The sequence below is a fragment of the Homo sapiens genome, chromosome 6 (assembly GCF_000001405.40).
Source record: "Homo sapiens chromosome 6, GRCh38.p14 Primary Assembly".
NCBI lineage: Eukaryota > Metazoa > Chordata > Mammalia > Primates > Hominidae > Homo > Homo sapiens.
Window position 1 is genome coordinate 97,602,495 of NC_000006.12, and position 22,718 is coordinate 97,625,212.

Genomic DNA, 22,718 nt, shown 5'->3' on the forward strand with positions numbered 1-22,718 from the left:
GCTTTTCCTTTGAAAAATCTGTTATGTCTTCTTTCTACTCTGAATTTTTCTGTATCATAGTTCTTTATAGACAAGGATAACATTATATTGCTTATTAAGCTTTTAGGAATTTGGTTGCTAGACTAATCTGAAGTGACCAAGGACTAAGGAGGAAACCCATTGATCCTAGTCCATGATGAAAAACGGTACAGAAAGTTTTGTACCATCTGGTCATTAATGGATCCAGAAGCTCCTCTTGCTTTAATGCTATCCCCTTCAACATTTAGGGATACCAGCTCACCCTGCTATCCTATAGGCAGTGGATAGAAAAAGAGAGAGTGGTGTCTTGTGCAGCAGGCTTTAGGAGGCAGGATTTGAAGTGGCATACATCACTTCCATCTATATTCTGTTGGTCATAACTCGGCTATGTGGTTCCCTCTAACTGTGAGGAGGGCTGGGAAATGCAGACTTTGTGTTCTTCACAGGGCCCCTGAGCAATTAGACAATCTAGATCCTACATGGACCTATGAGGCATGGTTCTGTGTATCTAAGGATGTTATCAGGGAAATCAGAATTAGCTGATTAGCCAAATTAGGCACTGTTTGCCCTCTCCCCTGCCAGTTTATAGCTAAAGAAAATTTGTATGGCAGTAGTATAGTCGTTACATAAACAAAAGTCCAAGATAATTAGTAGAGACCCTTGTGTATGATGTATTACATATCTCAGTAAAGCTGCATAAAAATACAGGAATTGTTGATATTATTAGCTTAATAGGTATCACTGTACACTGGAGTCTAGTGGGTCACCACTAAATCCTCGGCACCTCTCTCATCACCCTTCATGGTTGTTCATCTTTGCCTTTTTGATGTTTGTGCATGTTTTTAGAGATTTATGCATAAAGGTCCAGTAAGCATGCAGAGAGACATCTTGTCTCTCCCATTCACCTCTGTTTTCCCTGTACCTAGCCCTGGGTTCACTTACTATGTGATAAAGTCTAAAGAAATGAATTTATGTTTATGTGAGACTTCAAATATGTCTGTATATGCAGTTACATTTGTCTATTTTAATTCTGTAAGTTTATAATCTCCTTTAACTTTGAAATCTATTAATAGAGTATAGTATTTTTTTTTTTTTTTGGAGGTGGAGTTTCGCTCTGCCGCCCAGACTGGAGTGCAGTGGTGCAATCTCGGCTCACGGCTCACTGTAACCTCCACCTCCCAGGTTCAAGTGATTCTCGTGCCTCAGCCTCCTGAGTAGCTAGGACTATGGACGTTCACCACCATGCCTGGCTAAGTTTTGTATTTTTACCAGAGATGGGATTTCACCATGTTGGCCAGGCTAGTCTTGAACTCCTGACCTCAGGCAATCCACCCGCCTCAGCCTCCCAAAGTCTGGAATTACGGGGGTGAGCCACCACGCCTGGCCAGTATTTTCCTATTTATTTTTTCTCTGATAGTCTTAGTGTTCATCGTATTTTTAGTAAATGCGTATTTACTGAGTAATGGTGATTCTTCAGTTGCATACACTATACACTGAGTAGTAAATTTTACATAGATGTTCTTATCCATTCTAGCCTAGTACATACTTGCTGCAGAGTCAAATATATAATATGTTTCTTTTATGCTTGGCTTTACTCCAAGTACAATGCATAGATTTGTTTTTAGCTTCATGCTAGCTTCTGATGCATTATATTTTCATACTGTTTAATGATAGTTTTCTTTCACTGAATCATTATTGAATGAAAGGAAGATATTACAGATAATAAGGGTGTGTGTATGTGTTTGCATATTTGTGTGTGTGTGTTTACTGTTGATATTATATGGGTGGGTTTTTAGTAGCTCTTACTCCAAAATAAACACAAATATTTCTTAGTATCAAGTCTTTTTTTTTTCTAAGTGGCATCTATACTTTTCTTTTTGTGCATGAATGAGTGATAGCTGAAAAGTGATTGCAGTGGTTTCATAGCTTAATAAATTAGTATGTAGGAGATTAACTGTCTTAATCAATGAAAAATTATTCCTTTCTGATCTCAGAAAGATCCAATAAAAGGGGTAACATATATAACCTTGTTCTTTTAGAGGCTGCAAATGAACTGTAAAATTATTAGGCACAGTTTAATTGCCTTTTATAGCTATGTTGAGAAGAGCATATATACATGATCTCTTATAGTGGGGAGTGGGGAACAAAACATGTCTCTTTTTTTTTTTTTTTTTTTTGAGAGGGAGTTTTGCTCTTATTGCCCAGGCTGGAGTGCAATGGCACGATCTCGGCTCACTGTAACCTCCGCCTCCTGGGTTCAAGCAATTCTCCTGCTGCAGCCTCCCGAATAGCAGGGATTACAGGCATGTGCCACCACGCCTAGCTAATTTTGTATTTTTAGTAGAGACAGAGTTTCTCCATGTTGGTCAGGCTAGTCTCAAACTTCCGACCTCAGGTCATCCACCCGCCTCAGCCTCCCAAAGTGCTGGGATTACAGGCATGAGCCACTGCACCCGGCCATGCCTCCCTTTTAACATGAATAAATTGTATTACAAACATAGTGAAAGTAAGAACATATATTTTTTGGAAAAATTGTTTCATAGTACATATGTCTTGATTAACATATTCAAGGGATTCATTGTGAAATTATAAATAAATGACAGATTCAAATTTAGAAAAGCTGTACCGAATTTTAAACTGAATATACCTGCTTTTATTTATTTATTTTACTTTTTCTAAAATTTTTAAAGCATTATTCGCATTGGTAGAGTGTGGAACAGTGGAAAGAACACGGTATTTGTGGTTATGTAGCATGGGTTCAAATACTGATGTTGTCCCCTGTGTACTCTGTGACATTTGTCACATTATTTTGAAGGCTCAGTTTGCTATTCTATAAAGCAAATATAATGATACTTCATGCAAGGTTGTTGAGGAAATTATGAATTGTCTATGTGATCTATACATATATAGCACTCAGCTCCTATACAAGTTATTCTATGACTTATACACGAGTGCGTGCACGCGCACACACACACACACACACACACACACAGTCTCTCTCTTCCCCATGCCCTCTCTGTCCCTCTCTCTCTCTCTAATAAAGTCTCCTCTCCCTGACACAGTAGAAAGGGAGAGGTATGAATGGGGTACTCTCTTGTAATAAGCTACTTGGGACTGCTCCAGCAGAGGTCCAAGCAAGGTAATGATTGATACCTTGTGGGAAGATTGCTAAAGGCCAATTGCTGATTTTTGTAGAATCATAGCTTCTGTAATTTGAGGGAGTTATTTCTCATTTTACATCCTTGGAAAAGTTAGAGTTGACTCTCTTATGTGGGCTAACCTTACTGTTTGTTTTTTTGTTTTTTTTTTTTGTTGTTGTTGTTGTTTTTTGTTTTGTTTTGTTTTTTTTTGAGTCAGAATATCGCTCTGTTGCCCAGGCTGGAGTGCAGTGGCGCAATCTTGGCTCACCGCAAGCTCCACCTCCCGGATACATGCTATTCTCCTGTCTCAGCCTCCCCAGTAGCTGGGACTACAGGCGTCTGCCACCACGCCTGGCTAATTTTTTGTATTTTTAGTAGAGACTGGGTTTCACTGTGTAAGCCAGGATGGTATCGATCTCCTGACCTTGTGATCTGCCCACCTTGGCATCCCAAAGTGCTGGGATTAAAGGCGTGAGCCACCGTGCCTGGCCTAACCTTACTCTTATGTTTTAATGTACAATGAAATGGAAGTATCAGCTTCATAAGAGCTAGAGATCAGTCAAAGATATTTGTATTATTTTTTTCTTCTCATCTAAGACAATATGACTCAGAGTTCACATGTGACCTGCACATCATTTAATCTCAGCTGAAGGTTGGTTGCTGGCTTGAGCACAGAGGATCTTTACCTTAACTTACAGCCAAGTCCTGAGGTCACCATAGGACAGCTTCTTCAAAAACAGGACGTCTGCCCTTACAGGAAAAACAAGGGCCACAGTGACAGTCGGTCACACCATCTTGGCTAATTTAAGGCACAAAAGGATTGTCCCCTTATTAATATCCCAGGGCTACGATAATCACCACAAATTTGGTGGCATAAAACAATAGAAATTTATTCTTTCAAAATTTTGGAGGGTAGAAGTTCAAAATAAAGGTGTCAATTGGCAAGGCCACACTCCCTTCAAAGGCTCTAGGGAGGCATCCTTTCCTACCTCGTCAATTTCTGGTGGCTCCAGGAATTCCTTGGCTTCCGGCCATATCACTCCAATCTCTGTCTCCATCTCACATTGCCTTCTTTTCTGTGTGACTTATCCTCTTCTGGTTTTTTTTTTAATTCATTTTTTAAAATTATAGGTTTTTGGGAAACAGGTGGTGTTTGGTTACATGAATAAGCTCTTTAGTGGTGATTTCTGAGATTTTGGCGCATCCATCACCCGAGAAGTGTACACTGTACCCAATATGTAGTATTTTATCCTTCACCCCCTCTCACTCTTTCCACCAAGTCCCCAAAGTCCACTGTATTATTCTTAAGCCTTTGCATCCACATAGCTTAGCTATCACTTATGAGTGAGGACATATGATGTTTGGTTTTCCATTCCTGAGTTACTTCACTTAGAATAATGATCTCAAATTCCATCCAGGTTGCTATGAATGTCATTATTTCATTCCTTTTTATGGGTGAGTAGTATTCCATGATATATATATATATATATATATATATATATATATATATATATATATATATACTGCAATTTCTTTATCCACTCATTGATTGATGGGCATTTGGGCTGGCCCCATATTTTTGCAATTGCAAATTGTGCTGTGCAAGTATCTTGCATGTGTGTGAGAGTGTGTGTGTGTGTGTGCAAGTATCTTTTTAATATAAGGACTTCTTTTCCTCTGGGTAGATACCCAGTAGTGAGATTGCTGGATCAAATGGTAGTACTACTTTTAGTTCTTTCAGGAATCTCCACAGTGTTTTCCATAGTGGTTGTACTAGTTTACATTTCCACCAACAGTGGAAAAGTGTTCCTTTTTCATCACATCCATGCCAACATCTGTTATTATTATTATTTTATTATGGTCATTCTTGCAGAAGTAAGGTGGTATCACATTGTGGTTTTGCCTTGCATTTCCCTGATCACTACTGATGGTTAGCATTGTTTCATATATTTATTGGCCATTTGTATATCTTCTTTTTATAATTGTCAGTTAGTGTTCTTAGACCATTTTTTGATGGGATTTTTTTTCTTGCTAATTTGTTTGTTTCTTGTAGATTCTGGACATTAGTCCTTTGTTGGCTGTATAGATTGTGAAGATTTTTTCCCACTCTGTGGGTTGTCTGTTTACTCTGCTGATTGTTTCTTTTGCTGTGTAGAAGCTTTTTAGTTTAATTAAGTCCCATCTATTTATCTTTGTTTTTGTTGCATTTGCTTTTGGGTTCTTGGTCATGAAGTCTTTGCCTAAGCCAATGTCTAAAAGGATTTTTCCTGATGTTATCTTCTAGAATTTTTATGGTTTCAAGTCTTAGATTTAAGTCTTTGATCAATCTTGAGTTGATTTTTGTATAGGGTGAGAAATGAGGATCCAATTTCATTCTTCTACATGTGGCTTACCAGTTATCCCAGCACCATTTGTTGAATAGGGTGTCCTTTTCCCACTTTATGTTTTTGTTTGCTTTGTTAAAGATCAGTTGGCTATAAGTATTAGGTTTATTTCTGGGTTCTCTATTCTGTTCCATTGGTCTCTGTGCCTATTTTTATACCAGTACCATGCTGTTTTGGTGACTATGGCCTTATAGTATAGTTTGAAGTTGAATAATGTGATGCCTCTAGATTTATTCACTTTGCTTAATCTTGCTTTGTCTATGTGGGCTATTTTTTGGTTCCATATGAATTTTAGGATTTTTTTTCTAGATCTGTGAAGAAGGATGGTGGTATTTTGATGGGAATTGCATTGAATTTGTAGATTGCTTTTGGCAGTATGGTCATTTTCACAATATTGACTCTACCCAGCCATGAGCATGGGATGTGTTTCCATTTGTTGCATCATCTATGATTTCTTTCAGCAGGGTTTTGTAGTTTTCATTGTAGAGGTGTTTCGCCTCCTTGGTTAGGTATATTCCTAAGTATTTTTTTATTTTGCAGCTATTGTAAAAGGGGTCTACTTCTTGATTTGATTCTCAGCTTGGTCACTGTTCATGTATAGCAGAGCTACAGATTAGTGTATATTAATTTTGTTTCCTGAAAGTTTGCTGAATTCATTTATCAGTTCTAGCAGCTTTTTGGATGAATCTTTAGGGTTTTCTAGTTATACAATCATATGATCAGCGAACAGCAACAGTTTGACTTCCTCTTTATCGATTTTGATGCCCTTTATTTCTTTCTCTTGTCTGATTGCTCTGACTAGGACTTCTAGTGCCATGTTAAATAGAAGTTGTGAGAGTGGGCATCCTTGTCTTGTTCCAGTTCTCAGGAGGAATGCTTTTGACTTTTCTCCATTTAATATTATGTTGGCTGTGGGTTTTTTATAGATGGCTTTTATTACATTAAGTTATATTCCTTAGATGCTGATTTTGCTGAGGGTTTTATTCATAAAGGGATGCTGGATTTTGTCAAATTCTTTTTCTGTGTCTATTGAGATGATTATGTGATTTTTTAAAAATAATCAGTTTATCTGGTGTATCACATTTACTTACTTGTGTATGTTAAACCATCCTTGCATCCTGGTATGAAACCCACTTGATCATGGTGGATTATCTTTTTGATACGCTGTTGGATTTGGTTAGCTAGTATTTTCTTAAGGATTTTTGCCTCTATATTCATCACGGATATTGTTCTGTGGTTTTCTTTTTTTTGTTATGTCATTTCCTTGTTTTGGTAGTAGGGTGATACTGGCTTAATAGAATGACTTAGGGAATATTCCCTTTTTCTCTATCTTGTGGAATAGTGTCAGTATGACTGGTACCAGTTCTTTTTTGAATGTCTTATGTAATTCAGTTGTGAATCCATCTGGTTCTGGACTTTTTTTTTCTTGGCAATTTTTTTTTATTACCATTTCAATCTTGCTGCTTGTTATTGGTCTGTTCAGAGTTTCCATTCTTTCTTTTTACATCTAGGAGGGCTGTATATTTTCAGGAATTTATCACTCTCCTCTAGGTCTCAGTTTATCTGTGTAAAGGTATTTACAGTATCCTTGAATGATCTTTTGTATTTCTCTTGTATCAGTTGTAATATCTCCCATTTCGCTTATTTGAATCTTCTCTCTTCTTTTCTTGGTTAATCTCACTAATGGTCTATCAATTTTATTTATCTTTTCAAAGAATCAGTTTTTTGTTTCATTTATCTTTTGTATTTTTTGGTTTCAATTTCATTTAGTTCTGCTCTGATCTTTGTTATTTCTTTTTTTTTGCTGGGTTTGGGTTTGGTTTGTTCTTGTTTCTCCCGTTCTGTGAGGTGTGACCTTAGGTTATCTATTTGCATTCTTTCAGACTTTTTGATGTAGGCATTTAAGGCTATGAACCCTCCTCCTAACACTGTCTTTGCTTATTCCAGAGGTTTTGTTAGGTTGTGTCACAATTATTCAGTTCAAAGAATTTTTAAATTTCCATCTTAATTTCATTGTTGACTCAATGATCATTCAGGAGCAGGTTATTTAATTTTCATGTATTTGCATGGTTTTGTGGGTTCCTTTTGGAGTTGATTTCTAATTTTATCCGACTGTGGTCTGAGAGAGTCCTTAATATAATTTTAATTTTCTTAAATTTATTGAGACTTGCTTTGTGGCCTATCATATTGTCTATCTTGGTGGTCTATCTTGGAGAATGTTCCATGTGCTGATGGATAGAATGTATATTCTGCAGTTGTTGGGTAAAATGTTCTATAAATATCTGTTAAGTCCATTTGTTATATGGTATAATTTAAATTCGTTGTTTCTTTGTTCACTTTCTGTCTTGACCTGTCTCGTACTGTCACTATTGAAGTCCTCCATTATTATCATGTTGCTCTCTGTCTCATTTCTTGGGTCTAGTAGTATTTGTTTTATAATTTTGGGAGTTCCAGTGTTAGGTGCATATATATTTAGGATTGTGATATTTTCCTGTTGGACAAGTTATTTTATCATTATAAAATGCCTCTCTTTGTCTTTTTAAATTGCTGTTGCTCTAAAGTTTGTTTTGTCTGATATGAAAATAGTGACTCCTGCTCGCTTTTGTGTCCATTTTTATGGATATCTTTTTCTACCCCTTTAACTTTACATGTGCCCTTACTTGTTAGGCGAGTCTCTTGAAGACAGCAGATACTTGGTTGGTGAATTCTTACTCATTCTGCCATTCTGTATCTTTTAAGTGGAGCATTTAGGCAATTTACATTCAATGTTCCTATTGAGATGTGAGGTACTATTCTATTCATCATGCTCTTTGTTGCTTGAATACCTTTTTTTCATTGTGTTTTTGTTTTATAAGTCCTGTGAGATGTATGCTTTAAAGAAATTCTATTTTGGTGTATTTTGAAGATTTGATTTAAGATTTAGAGCTCCTTTTAGCAGTTCTTGTGTTGCTGGCTTAATAGTGGCAAATTCTCTCAGCATTTGTTTGTCTGAAAAAGACTGTATTTTTCCTTCATTTATGAAGTTTAGTTTCACTATATAAAAAATTCTTCACTGATGACTGTTACTTTTACATACATGGCACTAATTATTTCGAGGTATGTTTCTTCAATGCCTAGTTTCTTGAAAATTTTTTTTTTATCATAAAGGACTCTTGGATAAAGAAAGTGTGATAGATATACACAATAGAGTATTGCTCAGACAGAAAATAATGAGATCCTGTCATTTGCAACAATATGGCTGGAACTGGAGGTCATTATGTTATGTGATTTTAAAGATAAAATCAACAAACTCTTAGCTAGACTAAGAAAAAAAGAGAGAAGACTCAAATAAAACTGAAAAGGAAACATAACAGTGGGTGCTTCAGAAATTTAAAAGGCCCATAAGGGATTATTATGAATAATTATATGCCAAAAAATTAGATAACCTAAAGGAATTAATAAATTTCTAGATACATACACTGCACCAAAACTGAATCAAAAAGAGAGAGACATCAACAAAATACTAGCAAACCAAATTCAATAGCACAACAGAAACTTAATTCACCATGATTAGGTAGGCTACATTCCCAAGATACAGGGTTGGTTCAACATATGTAAATCAATAAATGTGATTCACCATGTAAACAGGATTAAAAACAAAATCCATATGTTCTTTTCCATTGGTCTGTATAGCTACTATGTTGAATAGGAGCAGTGAGAGAGGGCATCCTTTTCTTGTGCTGGTTTTCAAAGGGAATGCTTCCAACTTTTGCCCATTCAGTATGATATTGGCTGTTGGTTTGTCATAAATAGGTCTTACTATTTTGAGATATGTTCCATCAATGTGTAGTTTATTGAGAGTTTTTTTTACCATGAAGGGGTTGTTGGATTTTATCGAAGGCCTTTTCTGCATCTATTGAGATAATCATGTGGTTTTTGTCACTGGTTCCGTTTATGTGATGGATTACGTTTATTAATTGTGCACATTGAACCAGCCTTGCATCCTAGAGATGAAGCTGAGTTGATCGTGGTGGATAAGCTTTTTGATGTGCTGCTGGTTTCAGTTTGCCAGTATTTTATTGAGGATTTTCGCATTGATGTTCATCAAGGATATTGGCCTGAAATTTTCTTTTTTTGTTGTGTCTCTGCCAGGTTTTGGTATCAGGATGATGCTGGCATCATAAAATGAGTATTTTTCTTCAGACTTCAGACTGCTGTGCTGGAAGCAAGAATTTCAAGCATTGGATCTTAGCTTGCTGGGCTCCATAGGGGTGGGATCCACTGAGCTAGACCACTTGGCTCCCTGGCTTCAGCCCCCTTCCAGGTGAGTGAATGTTTCTGTCTTGCTGGTGTTCCAGGTGCCACTGGGGTGTGAAAGAAAAATTCCTGCAGCTAGCTCACTGTCTGCCCAAACAGCCGCCCCGTTTTGTGCTTGAAACCCAGGGCCCTGTTGGCATAGGTACCTGAGGGAATCTCCTGGTCTGCGAGTTGCGAAGACTGTGGGAAAATTGTAGTATCCAGGCTGGGCAGGGTCCCTCACAGCTTCCCTTGGTGAGGGAAGGGAGTTCCCTGACCCCTCGCACTTCTAAAGTGAGGCAATGCCCCACCTTGCTTTGGCTTGCCGTCCGTTGGCTGCACCCACTGTCTAACCAGTTCCAGTGAGATGAGCTGGTTACCTCAGTTGGAAATGCAGAAATCACCTGCCTTCTGCATTGATCTCACTGGGAACTGCAGACCAGAGCCGTTCCTATTTGACCATCTTGCCAACCAGGGGAAATCAACTATTTCAAATTTTTTTTGAGGACCCTCCAAACTCTTCTCCATAGTGGTTGTACTGATTTACATTTCCACTAACATTGTACCAGGGTTCCCTTTACTCCACATCTTCACCAGCATTTGTTATTGCCTGGATTTTTGCATATAAGCCATTTTAACTGGGGTGAGATGATATTTCATTGTAGTTTTGATTTGTATTTCTCTGATGATCAATGATTTTGAGCACCTTTTCATATATCTGTTTGCCATTGTATGTCTTCTTGTGAGAAATGTCTATTCAGATTTTTTGCCCATTTAAAATATTGGATTGTTAGATATTTTCCTATAGAATTGTTTGAGTTCCTTGTATATTCTGGTTATTAATCATGTGTCAGATGGGAAGTTTGCAAATATTTTCTTTTATTCTGTGGGTTGTCTCTTCACTTTGTTGATTGTTTCCCTTGCTGTGCAGAAGGTTTTTAACTTGATGTGATGCCATTTGTCCATTTTTGCTTTGGTTGCCTGTGCTTGTGGAGTATTACCCAAGAAGTCTTTGCCCAAACCAAGGTCCTGGAGGGTTTTCCCAATGTTCTCTTTTAGTGGTTTCATAGTTTGAGGTCTAAAATTTAAGTCTTTCATCCATTGTGATTTTAAGCAAGAAATAGGGGTCTTGTTTCACTCTTCTTCAAATCCAGTTTTCTCTGCAATATTTATTGAAGAGACAGTTTCTCTTCCCAATGTGTGTTCTTGGCACCTTTGTCAAAAATGAGTTTACTGTAAATGTTTGGGTTTTATCTGTCGGTTCTCTATTCTGTTCCACTGATCTATGTGTCTGTATTTATGTTGGTTCCTTGCTGTTTTGGTTACTACAGCTCCACAGTATAATTTAAAGTAAGGTAAAGTGATTCCCTCAGTTTTGTTCTTTTTGCTCAGAATAGCTTTGGCTATTTCAGGTCTTTTGTGGTTCCATATAAAGTTTAGGACTGTTTTTTCTATTTCTGTGAAGAATGTCTTTGGTGTTGTGATAGAGATTACATTAAATCTATAGATTGCTTTGGGTAGTGTGGCCATTTTAACACTATTGATTCTTCTAATCTTTAAAGATGGAATATCTTTCCATTTGTTGGTGTCTTCTTCAATTTCTTGCATTAGTGTTTTATAGTTTTTATTCCAGAGATCTTTTACTTCTTTGGTTAAGTAATTCCTAGGCATTTTATTTTATTTGTCGCTATTATAAATGGAATTACTTTTTGATGTCTTTTTCACAATGTTAGCTATTGGCATATAGAAATGCTACTGATTGTTGTATGTTGATTTTGTATTCTGCAACTTTACTGAATTTTATTCATTCTAATAGTTTTTTTGTGGAGTCTTTGCTTTTCCAAATATAAGATTCCATCATCTGCAAACAGAGATAATCTGATTTCTTCATTTCCAATTTGGATGCCCTTTATTTCTTTCTCTTGTCTAATTGCTACAGCTAGGACTTCTTGTACTATGTTGAACAACGGTGGTGAAAGTGAGCATCCTTCTCATGTTCTTGACCTTAGAGGAGAGGCTTTCAGTTTTTACCCTTTTGCTATGATACTAGCTGTGGGTCTGTCCTATAAGGCTTTTATTATGTTGAGGCTTGTTCCTTCTATCATGGGTTTTTGAGGGTTTTTATCATGAAGCAGTATTGAATTTTATCAAATGCTTTTACAGCATTAATTGAAATGATTATATGGTTTTTATCCTTCATTCTGTTGATGTGATGTATCACATTGTTGATTTGCATATGTTTAACCATTCTTCCATCCCTGAGATAAATTCCACGTGGTCATGATGAATAATGTTTAAATGTGTTGTTGAATTTGCCTTGCTAGTACATTTTTTAGGATTTTTGTATCAATATTGATCAGTGATATTGGCCTAGAGTTTTCTCTTTTGGATGTATATTTGTCTGGTTTTGGTATTAGGGTAATAATAGCCTCATAAAATGAGATTGGAAGTATTCCCTTCTCCTCTAATCTTTGGAATACTTTGAATAGGATTGGTATTAGTTCTTTTTTTAATGTTTGGTAGAATTCAGGAGTGAAGCCATCAGCTATCAGGTCCTGGGCTTTTTTTTCTTTTATGGGAGACTTCTTATTACAGCTTCAATCCCATTACTTGTTATTGGTCTGTTCAGATTTTGTATTTCTTAACAGTTCAACCTTGGTAGGTTGTATTTGTCCGAGAATTTGCCCATTTTTTTTTTTTTAGATTTTCCAATTTATTGACGTATAGTTGCTCACAGTAGCCACTAATGATCCTTTGAATTTCTGCACTCAGTTGTAATGTCTCCTTTTGCATCTCCAATTTTGTTTATTTGAGTCTTTCTTTTTTTCTTAGGTAGTGTGGCTAAAGGTTTGACTATTTTGCTTATCTTTTTTAAACAAATTTTTTGTTTCATTAATCTTTTGTATTGTTTTCTTCACTTCAAATTCACTTATTTTTCTCTGATCTTTATTATTTCTTTTTTTCTGACTAATTATGGGTTTAGTTTACTCTTGCTTTTCTAGTTCTTTAAGATGTATCATTAGGTTGCTTATTGGAAGTTTTTCTTCTTTTCTGATGTAGGCAGTTACAGGTATAGACTTCCCTGTTAGTAATGCTTTTGTTGTATCTCATAGGTTTTGCTTAATTATGCTTCCATTAATATTTTTTCAAGAAACTTTTCAATTTCATTCTTAATTTCTTCATTGACCCATTGCTTATTCAGAGCATATTGGTTAATTTCCACGTGTTTATATAGTTTCCAAAATTCCTCTTGTTATTGATTTCTAGTTTTATTCCATGTGGTCAGAGAAGATGCTTGATGTTATTTCAATTTTTTTGAATGTTTTAAGACTTCTTATATGACCTGACACATGGTCTATCTTGAGAATGATCCATGTGTTGAGGAAAAGTGTATATATTCTGCAGCCATTGCATGAAATGTTCTGTAAATATCTTTTAGTTTCATTCGATCTATAGTGCAGTTTTTAAATCTAACGTTTCATTGTTGATTTTGTGTTTGGGAGATCTGTCCAACGCTGAAAGTGGGGTGTTGAGGTCTCCAGCTACTATTGCAGTGGTGTCTATCTCTCTGTTTAGCTCTAATAATATTTGCTTTATATATTTGGATGCTCCAGTGTTGGGTAGTTCCATTATTATGTGAATTTTAGGAATAACTTTTCCATTTTTGCTAAGAAAGGTCATTGGGATTTTGTCTGGGATTGTACCTAGCCCGTAGATTGCTTAGTATTAATATCTTAATAATAAATCTTCCAATTAATGAAATGGAATGTTTTTCTCTTTATTTAGGCCTTTTAACTTCTTTTAGCAATGTTTTGTAATTTTCAGTGTACAAGTCTTGGAATTCCTTGATTAAATTTATTCCTAAATATTTTATTCTTTTTGATGCCATTATGAACAAAATTGTTTTCTTAATTTCATTCTTATATTGTTAATTGCTAGCATATAGAAATAGAACTGATTTTTGTGTGTTGATCTTTATCCTGAAACATTGATGAATACACTTATCAGCTCTAATTGCTTTGATTATTTAGGATTTTCTGTATATAAAATAATGCTATCTCTGAATAGAAATAATTTTGTTCCTTCTTTCCAATTTGTATGGCTTCGATTTTTTTTTTCTTGCCTAATTGCTATTGCTGGACCTTCCAGGGCAGGGTTAAACAGAAATGATGAAAGTGGACATGAGTGTCTTGTTCCTGATCTCAGTGTAAAAGCTTTCATCCTTTGTCTTTGAATATAATGTGGGTTTTTCCTAAGTGCCTTTTGTCATTTTGAGGAACGTTTTTTTCTATTCCCAGCTTGTTGAATGTTTTTATATGAACAGATGTTGTATTGTGTAAAATCCCTTTTCTGCATCAATGGAGATGACCATGTGTTTGCCTGCTTCATTTTATTAATGTGGTATATTACATTGATTGATTTTTGTATGTTCAATTCTTTTGCATCATTTTAAATCCTCAATGTTTATTTTAACTATGGCTGTTTTTATCAGTTGTATGATTTTCTTTGATTTATTCCATGCAGATTCAAACTAATGGTGTCTCACCAACACATGGCATGAGAACACCTGTAGCAATCTGTTTGACAGTCATTCACGAGCAACTTAGAATTGCAAGAAAGGTAACAACATACAGAGCGATCTTTGATCACTGGGGAATAGGAGACTATGAGTTATTGCTTTCTCTTTTCTTTATCTGGAGACATGGTTCTGAAATCAGTTTCATAAGGTTTCTCAGAACGTCGGACTAGATTAAACAACCAGTTGCTCATAATGGCACCAACTTGATAATATATCCCACTTAATGTAATATATATTGTCTTTCTCCTCATCTGATTTAATTTTTCTTATCTCTTGATCATACTTCCCAAGGTTGCATTTTCAAATAAATTTCTCATAGACATTATCTTTGGCCCTGATTTGTGGGAAAAGCGGGCTAAGGCAGAGCTAAGGCATCTGCTGTACTCATATAGTGATATTGCGTAAGGGAGAGGGAATTAAAGGATATAATGCAGCACCTAACATGTGGTCTTGCTACCCTTATGAGATGTCTCATGGTGCTATAGAATTGTTTTAATTTTGTTTCTGGAGACTCTGATAATTACTTTTGCTGTAGGTTTTGAGGTAGTCCCTGAGCTCATTCAAAGTTCTTTTGCTCACCATTAAAATGTCGTACCTTTCTCTTTTGACTGTGGAGCAATCTTCTACAATAACTGCCTCCATTGATTAAAAAAGGGGCAACTAACTGGAATGAGAGTAAGAAGTGTGGTTCTTAGAAATATGTAAGTTTTAAATGAATGAGAATAATAATTTAAATGATAAACCTCACATTTTAAAAAGACTGTGTGTCTGCTACTGTGCTAAATTCCATCCTAATATCCCCAAGATGCAGATGTTAGTATTAACTCTATTTTATATTTAAGGGGTTTAACTTCAACCCAGGTGACACTTGCCCTAAAGCTTGGCTTAGATGACCTTAAGATGTACTTTCCACAAATGAGTTAAAGTTCTAGCTATAAAATTCATAAAATACTTTAATAAAAGCTCCATAAAATGTCAACACCCTGTCTGAGATTCTGTCCCATTTGAAATGAAAACCAAGGCTAACATAAACAAATTACAAAGAAGTTAGTTTTTGATATATAAAACCCAGTTTTTAGAATATGATGCTATTTTTGATGAAATAGTGAAAGAGAACAAAGCTGGATTTGACTTGATTCTCTTGATGATACACTCAGAGTTTATAAATCTGTGTTGCTCCTGTGTCTGCACAGACAGAATCTGGAGATGTTAATTTTTTGTCATTTGGCTTCTAGATGTCCTTGGCGTGTACACCCTGTGGAATCTGGTTCATCTTCAATCTGTCAGAAGGCATCAGAGGTGGTTTTGACTCCTTATGTCTTGGACCTGTGCACAAAAAGTGTGAGTACACTGCAATGAGGCCAATTTTACTGTTGTTGAGGGTCTTCTAAAATGATTTTGTAATGGTTAGTGTATTGAAATGAACTCACCCTGTAGTTCCAGGATGAGAAAGGAAGGATAATTTTTGGTCAAGATATTAGAAAATATCTTTCTTGGAATTGTCTTATTTGTGTAGGCTCATTCCTTGCCCCAGAAATGGCTTTGATGAACATGACTCTAAATAAAATGCAAGAAGTTTAACACAAAGAGGAAAAAGTTCCTTTCCAAGGTAGTTATCAAATAGCTTAAATACTACCAAATGATAGATGGTATATTTTTTCACATATGAAAATTTCACATTGCACACTAGGACCCCTTTTACTCGATTTTAAGTAGTTAACATATTTGGGATCCCTTCTCTATGCCTCTGAATTAGGTTATTATCATATCAAAAGAAATCCAGAACTTTAAAAGGCTTATTAGTGAAGCTCATAGTTATATACACAAGTGGTACCTTTTAATGCCTCAGAAAACTAATTTTGGCATTGTATATAGATGAACCATGTAAGCATAGTTACAATGGTTATTCTTGTTTTGGAGGGGTGGGTTAATTTGGAGAGAACATGATATTCCCCTGGTGAAAAATTAAGTTTTATGTTAAAGTTAAGTTTTATGTTTTTTATTTATAGGAATTCAGATAATGACTTCAGATGTAAGTTTATAAATTTTGAACTAATTACTGAGTTTTCATTGTTCCCTGATGAGCATTTGCTTAGTTTGTTGAAAACTGGAAGAGGGCTAATAAGTATTAAATTCATTAAATTTAGGGAAAAAGCATAATTTGACCAATTTTATGTAAATTTAAATAGATTTTGTTTGAAAACAAGAGGTAGCTTATTTTTTTTTGTAAATAAATCTATTTCACTTGTTAGCTGGACACTGAGCCTATTAGGCATTCCTAGCCCACAATATAACTTTCTTTCTCTACTTTAGATTGACCCAAAGTGGATGGTCAGCTTTCTAAACTGGCCTGGCTTCTTGATGAAGTTTTTGAATTCATGAGCTAGTAAGTTTGAAGTGCTTTGAGAAGGTTTGAGGTGAGGCTAGAATGAAGTGAAGAATAAGCTGTTTCTTTTTGCCCTTGCAGACTTTTCCTGTAGGAATGAAAATACAGTAAAGTATTCAAATACAGCTTCATGTAAAGTATTCTTTATTTTTATTTATTTATTTATTTTTATTTTTTGAGAGAGAGAGTTTCACTCTTGTTGCCCAGGCTGCAGTGCAATGGTGTGATCTCAGCTCACTGCAACCTTGGCCTCCCATGTTCAAGCGATTCTCCTGTCTCAGCCTCTTGAGTAGCTGGGATTACAGGCACGCACCACCCAAGCCTGGCTAATTTTGTATTTTTAGTAGAGATTGCGTTTCATCATGTTGGTCAAGCTGGTCTTGAACTCTGACCTCAGGTGATCCACCCACCTTGGTCTCCCAAGTGCTGGGATTACAGGCCTGAGCCACCGCGCCCGGCCCAGTAAAGTAGTCTTAATTAAAAAATAATCACTAAGTTTCCCCCAAAATCTTGTTTCACTTATGTATATTAGGTTTTATTACACATACCAATTAGAGTTTGTTGCAGGGAATAGCCACTCAAACTAGCCTGACTGGTATTGTAAGATTTCTGGGGAGTCTCAGGGGACCTTGTAGTTTTGGTAAAAATTTTAATTTTCGGCCAGCCTTAACTTTAGGAGGATAGTTAAACACGGCAATTTATTTTCTTATTTTTTTGTCATAATTTTTAAGAGAGACGCACATCGATGACATTTATTTCGGTAATTAGAATAAGGTACCAATAACGTCTCCAACAAGCAAAAACCCTTTCTACCTATCTAGCTATCAATGAAGAAGTATGTCAGTGTATATCAGGAGCTTTTCAAATAAATCAATTTGCAAAACTTTGTCAGTGGAGTTGATTTTAAATATTTCCTTTCCTAGAGTTTCCTGAAATCATGTTTTAAACATTAAAAACTTTCTAACAGGTCAGTTAGATGAAACTTTCTAACAGGTCAGTTATTGAACACACTGAGTTACCTTTTTCAATTTTCAAATTTTCTTCCTTTGATAATCTGTGTGCTTTATTCTTCAACCCTCTCCATTTTTCCATGTGAACACATCATCTATATTGAGCTTCCCTTCAACAGTTGTTCCTGGTTTTGATAGCCACATCTATGTTAAGTGAATTTGTTTTACTTTCAATATTTTTAGACATTATTTTTTCTTGAAGGTGTCCATTCTAGAGCCCTCACCATCAGTCTGAGATTTTCCCTTTATCTTTTTCCTGAGCTATGTTTCTCTTTCCTGTTGTTTTTCTTGGTTTACTGTCAACTTTGCAGTGGAGTTCATTTCCAAGAAAATTCCTGACAAGAATACTGAGGAGGTAAAATTTTGTGGCCTTGAATATACCAGAATATCTTTATTCTGTAATTATACTTGATCTATACTCTGGTAAGGTATTCAGTTTTACATTAGAAATAATTTTCTCTCAAAACTTTGAAAGTTTCTCTTCACTGTCTTCCACTCTTAGTATTTCTGTACAGAAACCCAACTTTCTCTCCAGAAACCTCATTCAGATTCCAGATTCTATGTTTTGTTTTTTTTCCTTTCATGTTAGAATATTTCTCCACAGGTTGAAGGATCCTTGACTGTTTCTCTATATTTAAGAGTAAGAGCCAAATAATAATTTGGGAAGTCTTTATAATGAGGTATCTTGATAGGTGTGGTTTATTAGTATGATGAAGTGGTAACATGGCTTTTTAATTGAGAGAGTCTAAATCTTTATGTGCGTGTATTCCCTGGGCCATTCTGTTTCTCTAGCTTGAAGGGAAAATCTCTTTGGGTTTTTGAGGTAAAATTGGCAGTTTCCTATTGGTTTTCTTCAATTCAGGTTAAGGCTTCAGCTTTATCTGGTTTGCTAAGCAGTTACTATTCATCCATTTACATTATAACATTTCAGGAATGTTTTTGAAATAACTTATCTGGCATCTTCTTCTCTCCTTTTCATCCTTCAGGGTTCTAAGTTTTAAAATTATTTTACTGTCAGTTTAGTATGATTTTCAAGGGTGAGGAATAAATAACTTCATGCACTTACTGTCATGTTTAATCAAATGTTTGTGAAATAATTTAAAGCAGTATATGCAGAAGTTGGTGATACTTCTATGGTGTGACATTAATACTATTTTAAATATATCAATTTATTACTATAATATCTGCAAGTAAAAGAGGCCTTAAATGCTCTGAAAGCATGAAGGCCTGCCTTTCTCAGTTCTCATGCTGTTTTCTCAGTAGAAGAGCTAATTCACCTGAAACCTTTACAGAGCCTCCTGCCTGAGTTCTCTAGTTGCACTTCACAGATACTTCTGTCATAATACTTAGTACATTTTCCTCTATGTGTTTATTTATCTTTTTCTCACTAAGCTCCACCATCCTTGAAGGCAAATATTACATCTTATTATTCATCTTTATAATCCTTGGGCTTAGCACAGTGCTTGGCATATAGCAGGAGCTCCATACATGTATACTAAAAAATGTCAAATTAATGTGTTAATAATTTCCCTAAAGTTTTAAGGAGATATTAACATTTTATAACTAAAGTAATTCTCTTCTAGTCTTTTCTTCTTCTCCTCCACTCTGTCAATTTTTCTTTCATATCATTCCCACCCCGGCAAGCAACATGAACTTTTACTCATCAGTTGAATTAAGTGGTATAGGTATGTTTCACTGTATTTCTATTGCTATGTTTCTAAGTCATATAGGTATATTTCACTATATTTCTATTGAAGAAATAGCTAGAAAATGTAGGTTGATCCCATTTTGTAGAGGATTTTAAATGTTGGGCTAAGGTATTTTTGCTCTATGAAGTAGCCAAGAGGGTGATGTTGAAGGTTTTAAGCTAGGAAAAGTAATATTTAAATCACAACATGATAATATTAGTGGGGCAGATGGACTAGAAAAGGAGATACAGAACAAGGAGAGACCCATTACAAAGCTACTCCTATAGCCTCAGAAGAAAAATGAGCTTCTGAGAAGAGTAAGGACAATAAGAATATAACATATGTTTTTAAAATATTTTCATTACTATTTATTTATGTTCATATTCAATTGTATACTTATTCATTGTCTCTCCCCTCCCACTAGAATGTAATCTCCCTGAGAGCAAGAGTCTGTATCTCCTTCAGCTCCAATCTCCAATGTCTAGAATAGTGCTTGCAAGATAGTAATTGTTCAGTACACACTTCTTGAAGGAATTAAGGAGACAGACAAGCTAAAAAGAAACAGAACAAAAATCAAATAGGGCAGTCTCAGATGCACAAATTAAGTGAAGTAAATTCAAACAGGCCGGTAGTCACAATTAATATGTATGGAGCAAACTCTCCAAATAAAAGACAAAAGTGGTCAGACTGGATTTTTAAAATTTCAGTAGTATGCTCTCTAAAGATTTGTACTTAAAACATAAGGACACAGCCATGATGAAAGTAAATGATGAAAACAAATCCCAGATAATTACTAGCCAGAAGAAAGGTGTTATCACTATATTATTTTTGTATAGAATAATTTAAGCCAGTATAAAGTTAAATGGAACATATAAATATATATGTATGCATATTAGAAAATTATATAAGCCTAATATTGTTAAAAATAAATATAGTTAATAATAGAGTATTGTACATTTCAAAATTGCTGAGAGTAAATTTCTAATGTTCTTACCACAAAAGAATGTTAAGTATTTGAGGTGATGGATATGTTAACTAGTTCGATTTAATTATTCCTTATTAACATCTCTTTGTGTGCCATAAGTTTATACAATTATAAATTGTCATTTTAATTAAAAATTCATTGTTAATGTCTTAATATTTACATATAGCTTTTAGTAATTGACTTTCAAATAAATAAATTTTAAAAGTACATTTATATATAATCTAAAGTTTGACTTAAGGCCAGCTGTGGTGGCTCATGCCTGTAATTCCAGCATTTTGGGAGGCCAAGGCAGGAGGATCAACGGAGGCCAAGAGTTTGATACAAGCCTGGGCAACATAGCAAGACCCTGTCTCTACTAAAAATTAAAAAATTAACTGAGCATGATGGCACATGCCTGTATTCCCAGCTACTTGGGAGGTTGACTTGGGAGTACCACCTGAGCCCTAGAGTTTGGAGGTTACGGTGGGCTGTGATTACGCCACTGCCTGGTTGACAGAATAAGACCTTGTTTCAAAATATATATTTATATATATAAATTTTAAAAATTAAGTTTGACTTAAAAATATATATAAACATAAATGGATAATACTACATGGGAGAATGACAAATCCACAATTCAAAAATATCTGAACACACTTCTCTCGGTAGCTGACAGAAGCTTCACCTAATGGGTCTATATAGAACTTACATAGAAGTTTCTTTTCAAGCACTCATGTAATATTTAGACTAAATGGGAAAAATAAGTCCATTATAGACTACAGAACTAACATAAGCTAGAAGAACGAGTAACAAAATGAAAAAGAATATGGGTGATACACGGAGGGCACTGGGGATGAGAGTGGGCATGGAGGATGACAGTAGGGAGGGACAAGCACATGGGGCTGGGCTGAGAAGAGTCTGATATGAGATCACAGGTTTCAAGTTGAGGAATAGCACAATCAGACTGTGTTAGCAAGATTATTTTAATGAGAATTTAGAGAAGGCAATGAGTGGTAGAATCTGAGATAAAGGAGACAAGTTGGAGACTATTACAGTAGTTCAGGCATGAGACAATGAGGTTCTGAACTAAGTATCAGCAAAGATGATTCTGTTTTAGCCAATGTCATGGAAGTAGAATTGTTAGTACACAGGTGACTTTTGAGTAGGGAAATAGCAGGATGGCTCCCAGTTTTCCGGGATAGATGAATGATAGTGCCATTAACCAAGATAGGATCTTTAGCCAAAGGGCAGGTTCAAGGGGATACATGTGACACTTGAGGTTTAAGAACACATTTTCATTTAAAATTAGTTTTGTAATTTTAAAATGCTTGTGATAGTGCAACAATGGAAAATATTTTACCTTCCTGTTGAATCTTTTTTTTTTCTCACATAACCAGGTAACATGGCATCTCTGGCTTACTGAGTATAAATATCACGTGAAAGACCTTTACCTGGAATTGGCAGACCTTCCCTCATTGCTATGTGACTTGATTTATATCTTCTGTGCTAGTGCATGTAATATGTCTTTTTGTTAAATAACTATATATATATATAGTTTTACATATATATGTAGTTTTACATATATATATGTAAAACTTCCTGGATGTAGTAGATTTTTCAATCCATTCCTTAAAGTATAATTTCTGAGAACGATCCCAATTTAGCTGTCCTCAAATATGCATGATCTGAATCAGTGAGTGTGTGTTACCTCTAGTGGGATCAGTGCAGTCTCACTAATATTTGATATACATCAAAATCTCTTGCTTCATATTTCACATTCTTTTCCTATTTTAAGAACTAATTTTTGAAAGTAAAAAAACTTGACAGTAATAATAGCGATGATGATCATGATCATGGTAAAGTAGAGAGCTTCTTATGGCTCAAGTTAAGCATTTTAAATGTAATCCTTAAAAACATCACCTTGCACATGTTATAAGCCCTATTTGAGGAAATGGAGGGTCTGATAAGTTAAATGACATTTTCGAGGTTACATAGCAAGCAAAAGTTGAGGCTGTAATGTAATTCCAGATCTCTGATTCCAGTGTTTGCATTCCTAATAATTATTGTAAAATGCTATAGGAAATTTGACCTGGATTTGATCAATCAAAAATAGTTATTTTCTAGAAGAGAAGAACTGTAATGTTCTCAACACAAAGAAAAGATAAATGTTTGAGACGATGGATGTAACAATTACCTGATTTGATTATTACTACACATTGTATACAGATATCAAAATATCACAGGCACCCCCCAAATATGTACAACTGTTAGATA

At 35.3% G+C, this 22,718-nt stretch overlaps 1 long non-coding RNA gene across 1 annotated transcript in view; it reads left to right on the forward strand.

The window, feature by feature from the left end:
* Window positions 1-22,718, forward strand: part of LOC101927314 (uncharacterized) — a 403,332-nt gene that overhangs the window by 296,909 nt on the left and 83,705 nt on the right. Inside the window, exons 2-3 of the long non-coding RNA NR_110757.1 lie at window positions 9,674-9,845; window positions 15,632-15,737. This is a non-coding gene — a long non-coding RNA (uncharacterized LOC101927314). The remainder of the gene's footprint in view (window positions 1-9,673; window positions 9,846-15,631; window positions 15,738-22,718) is intronic.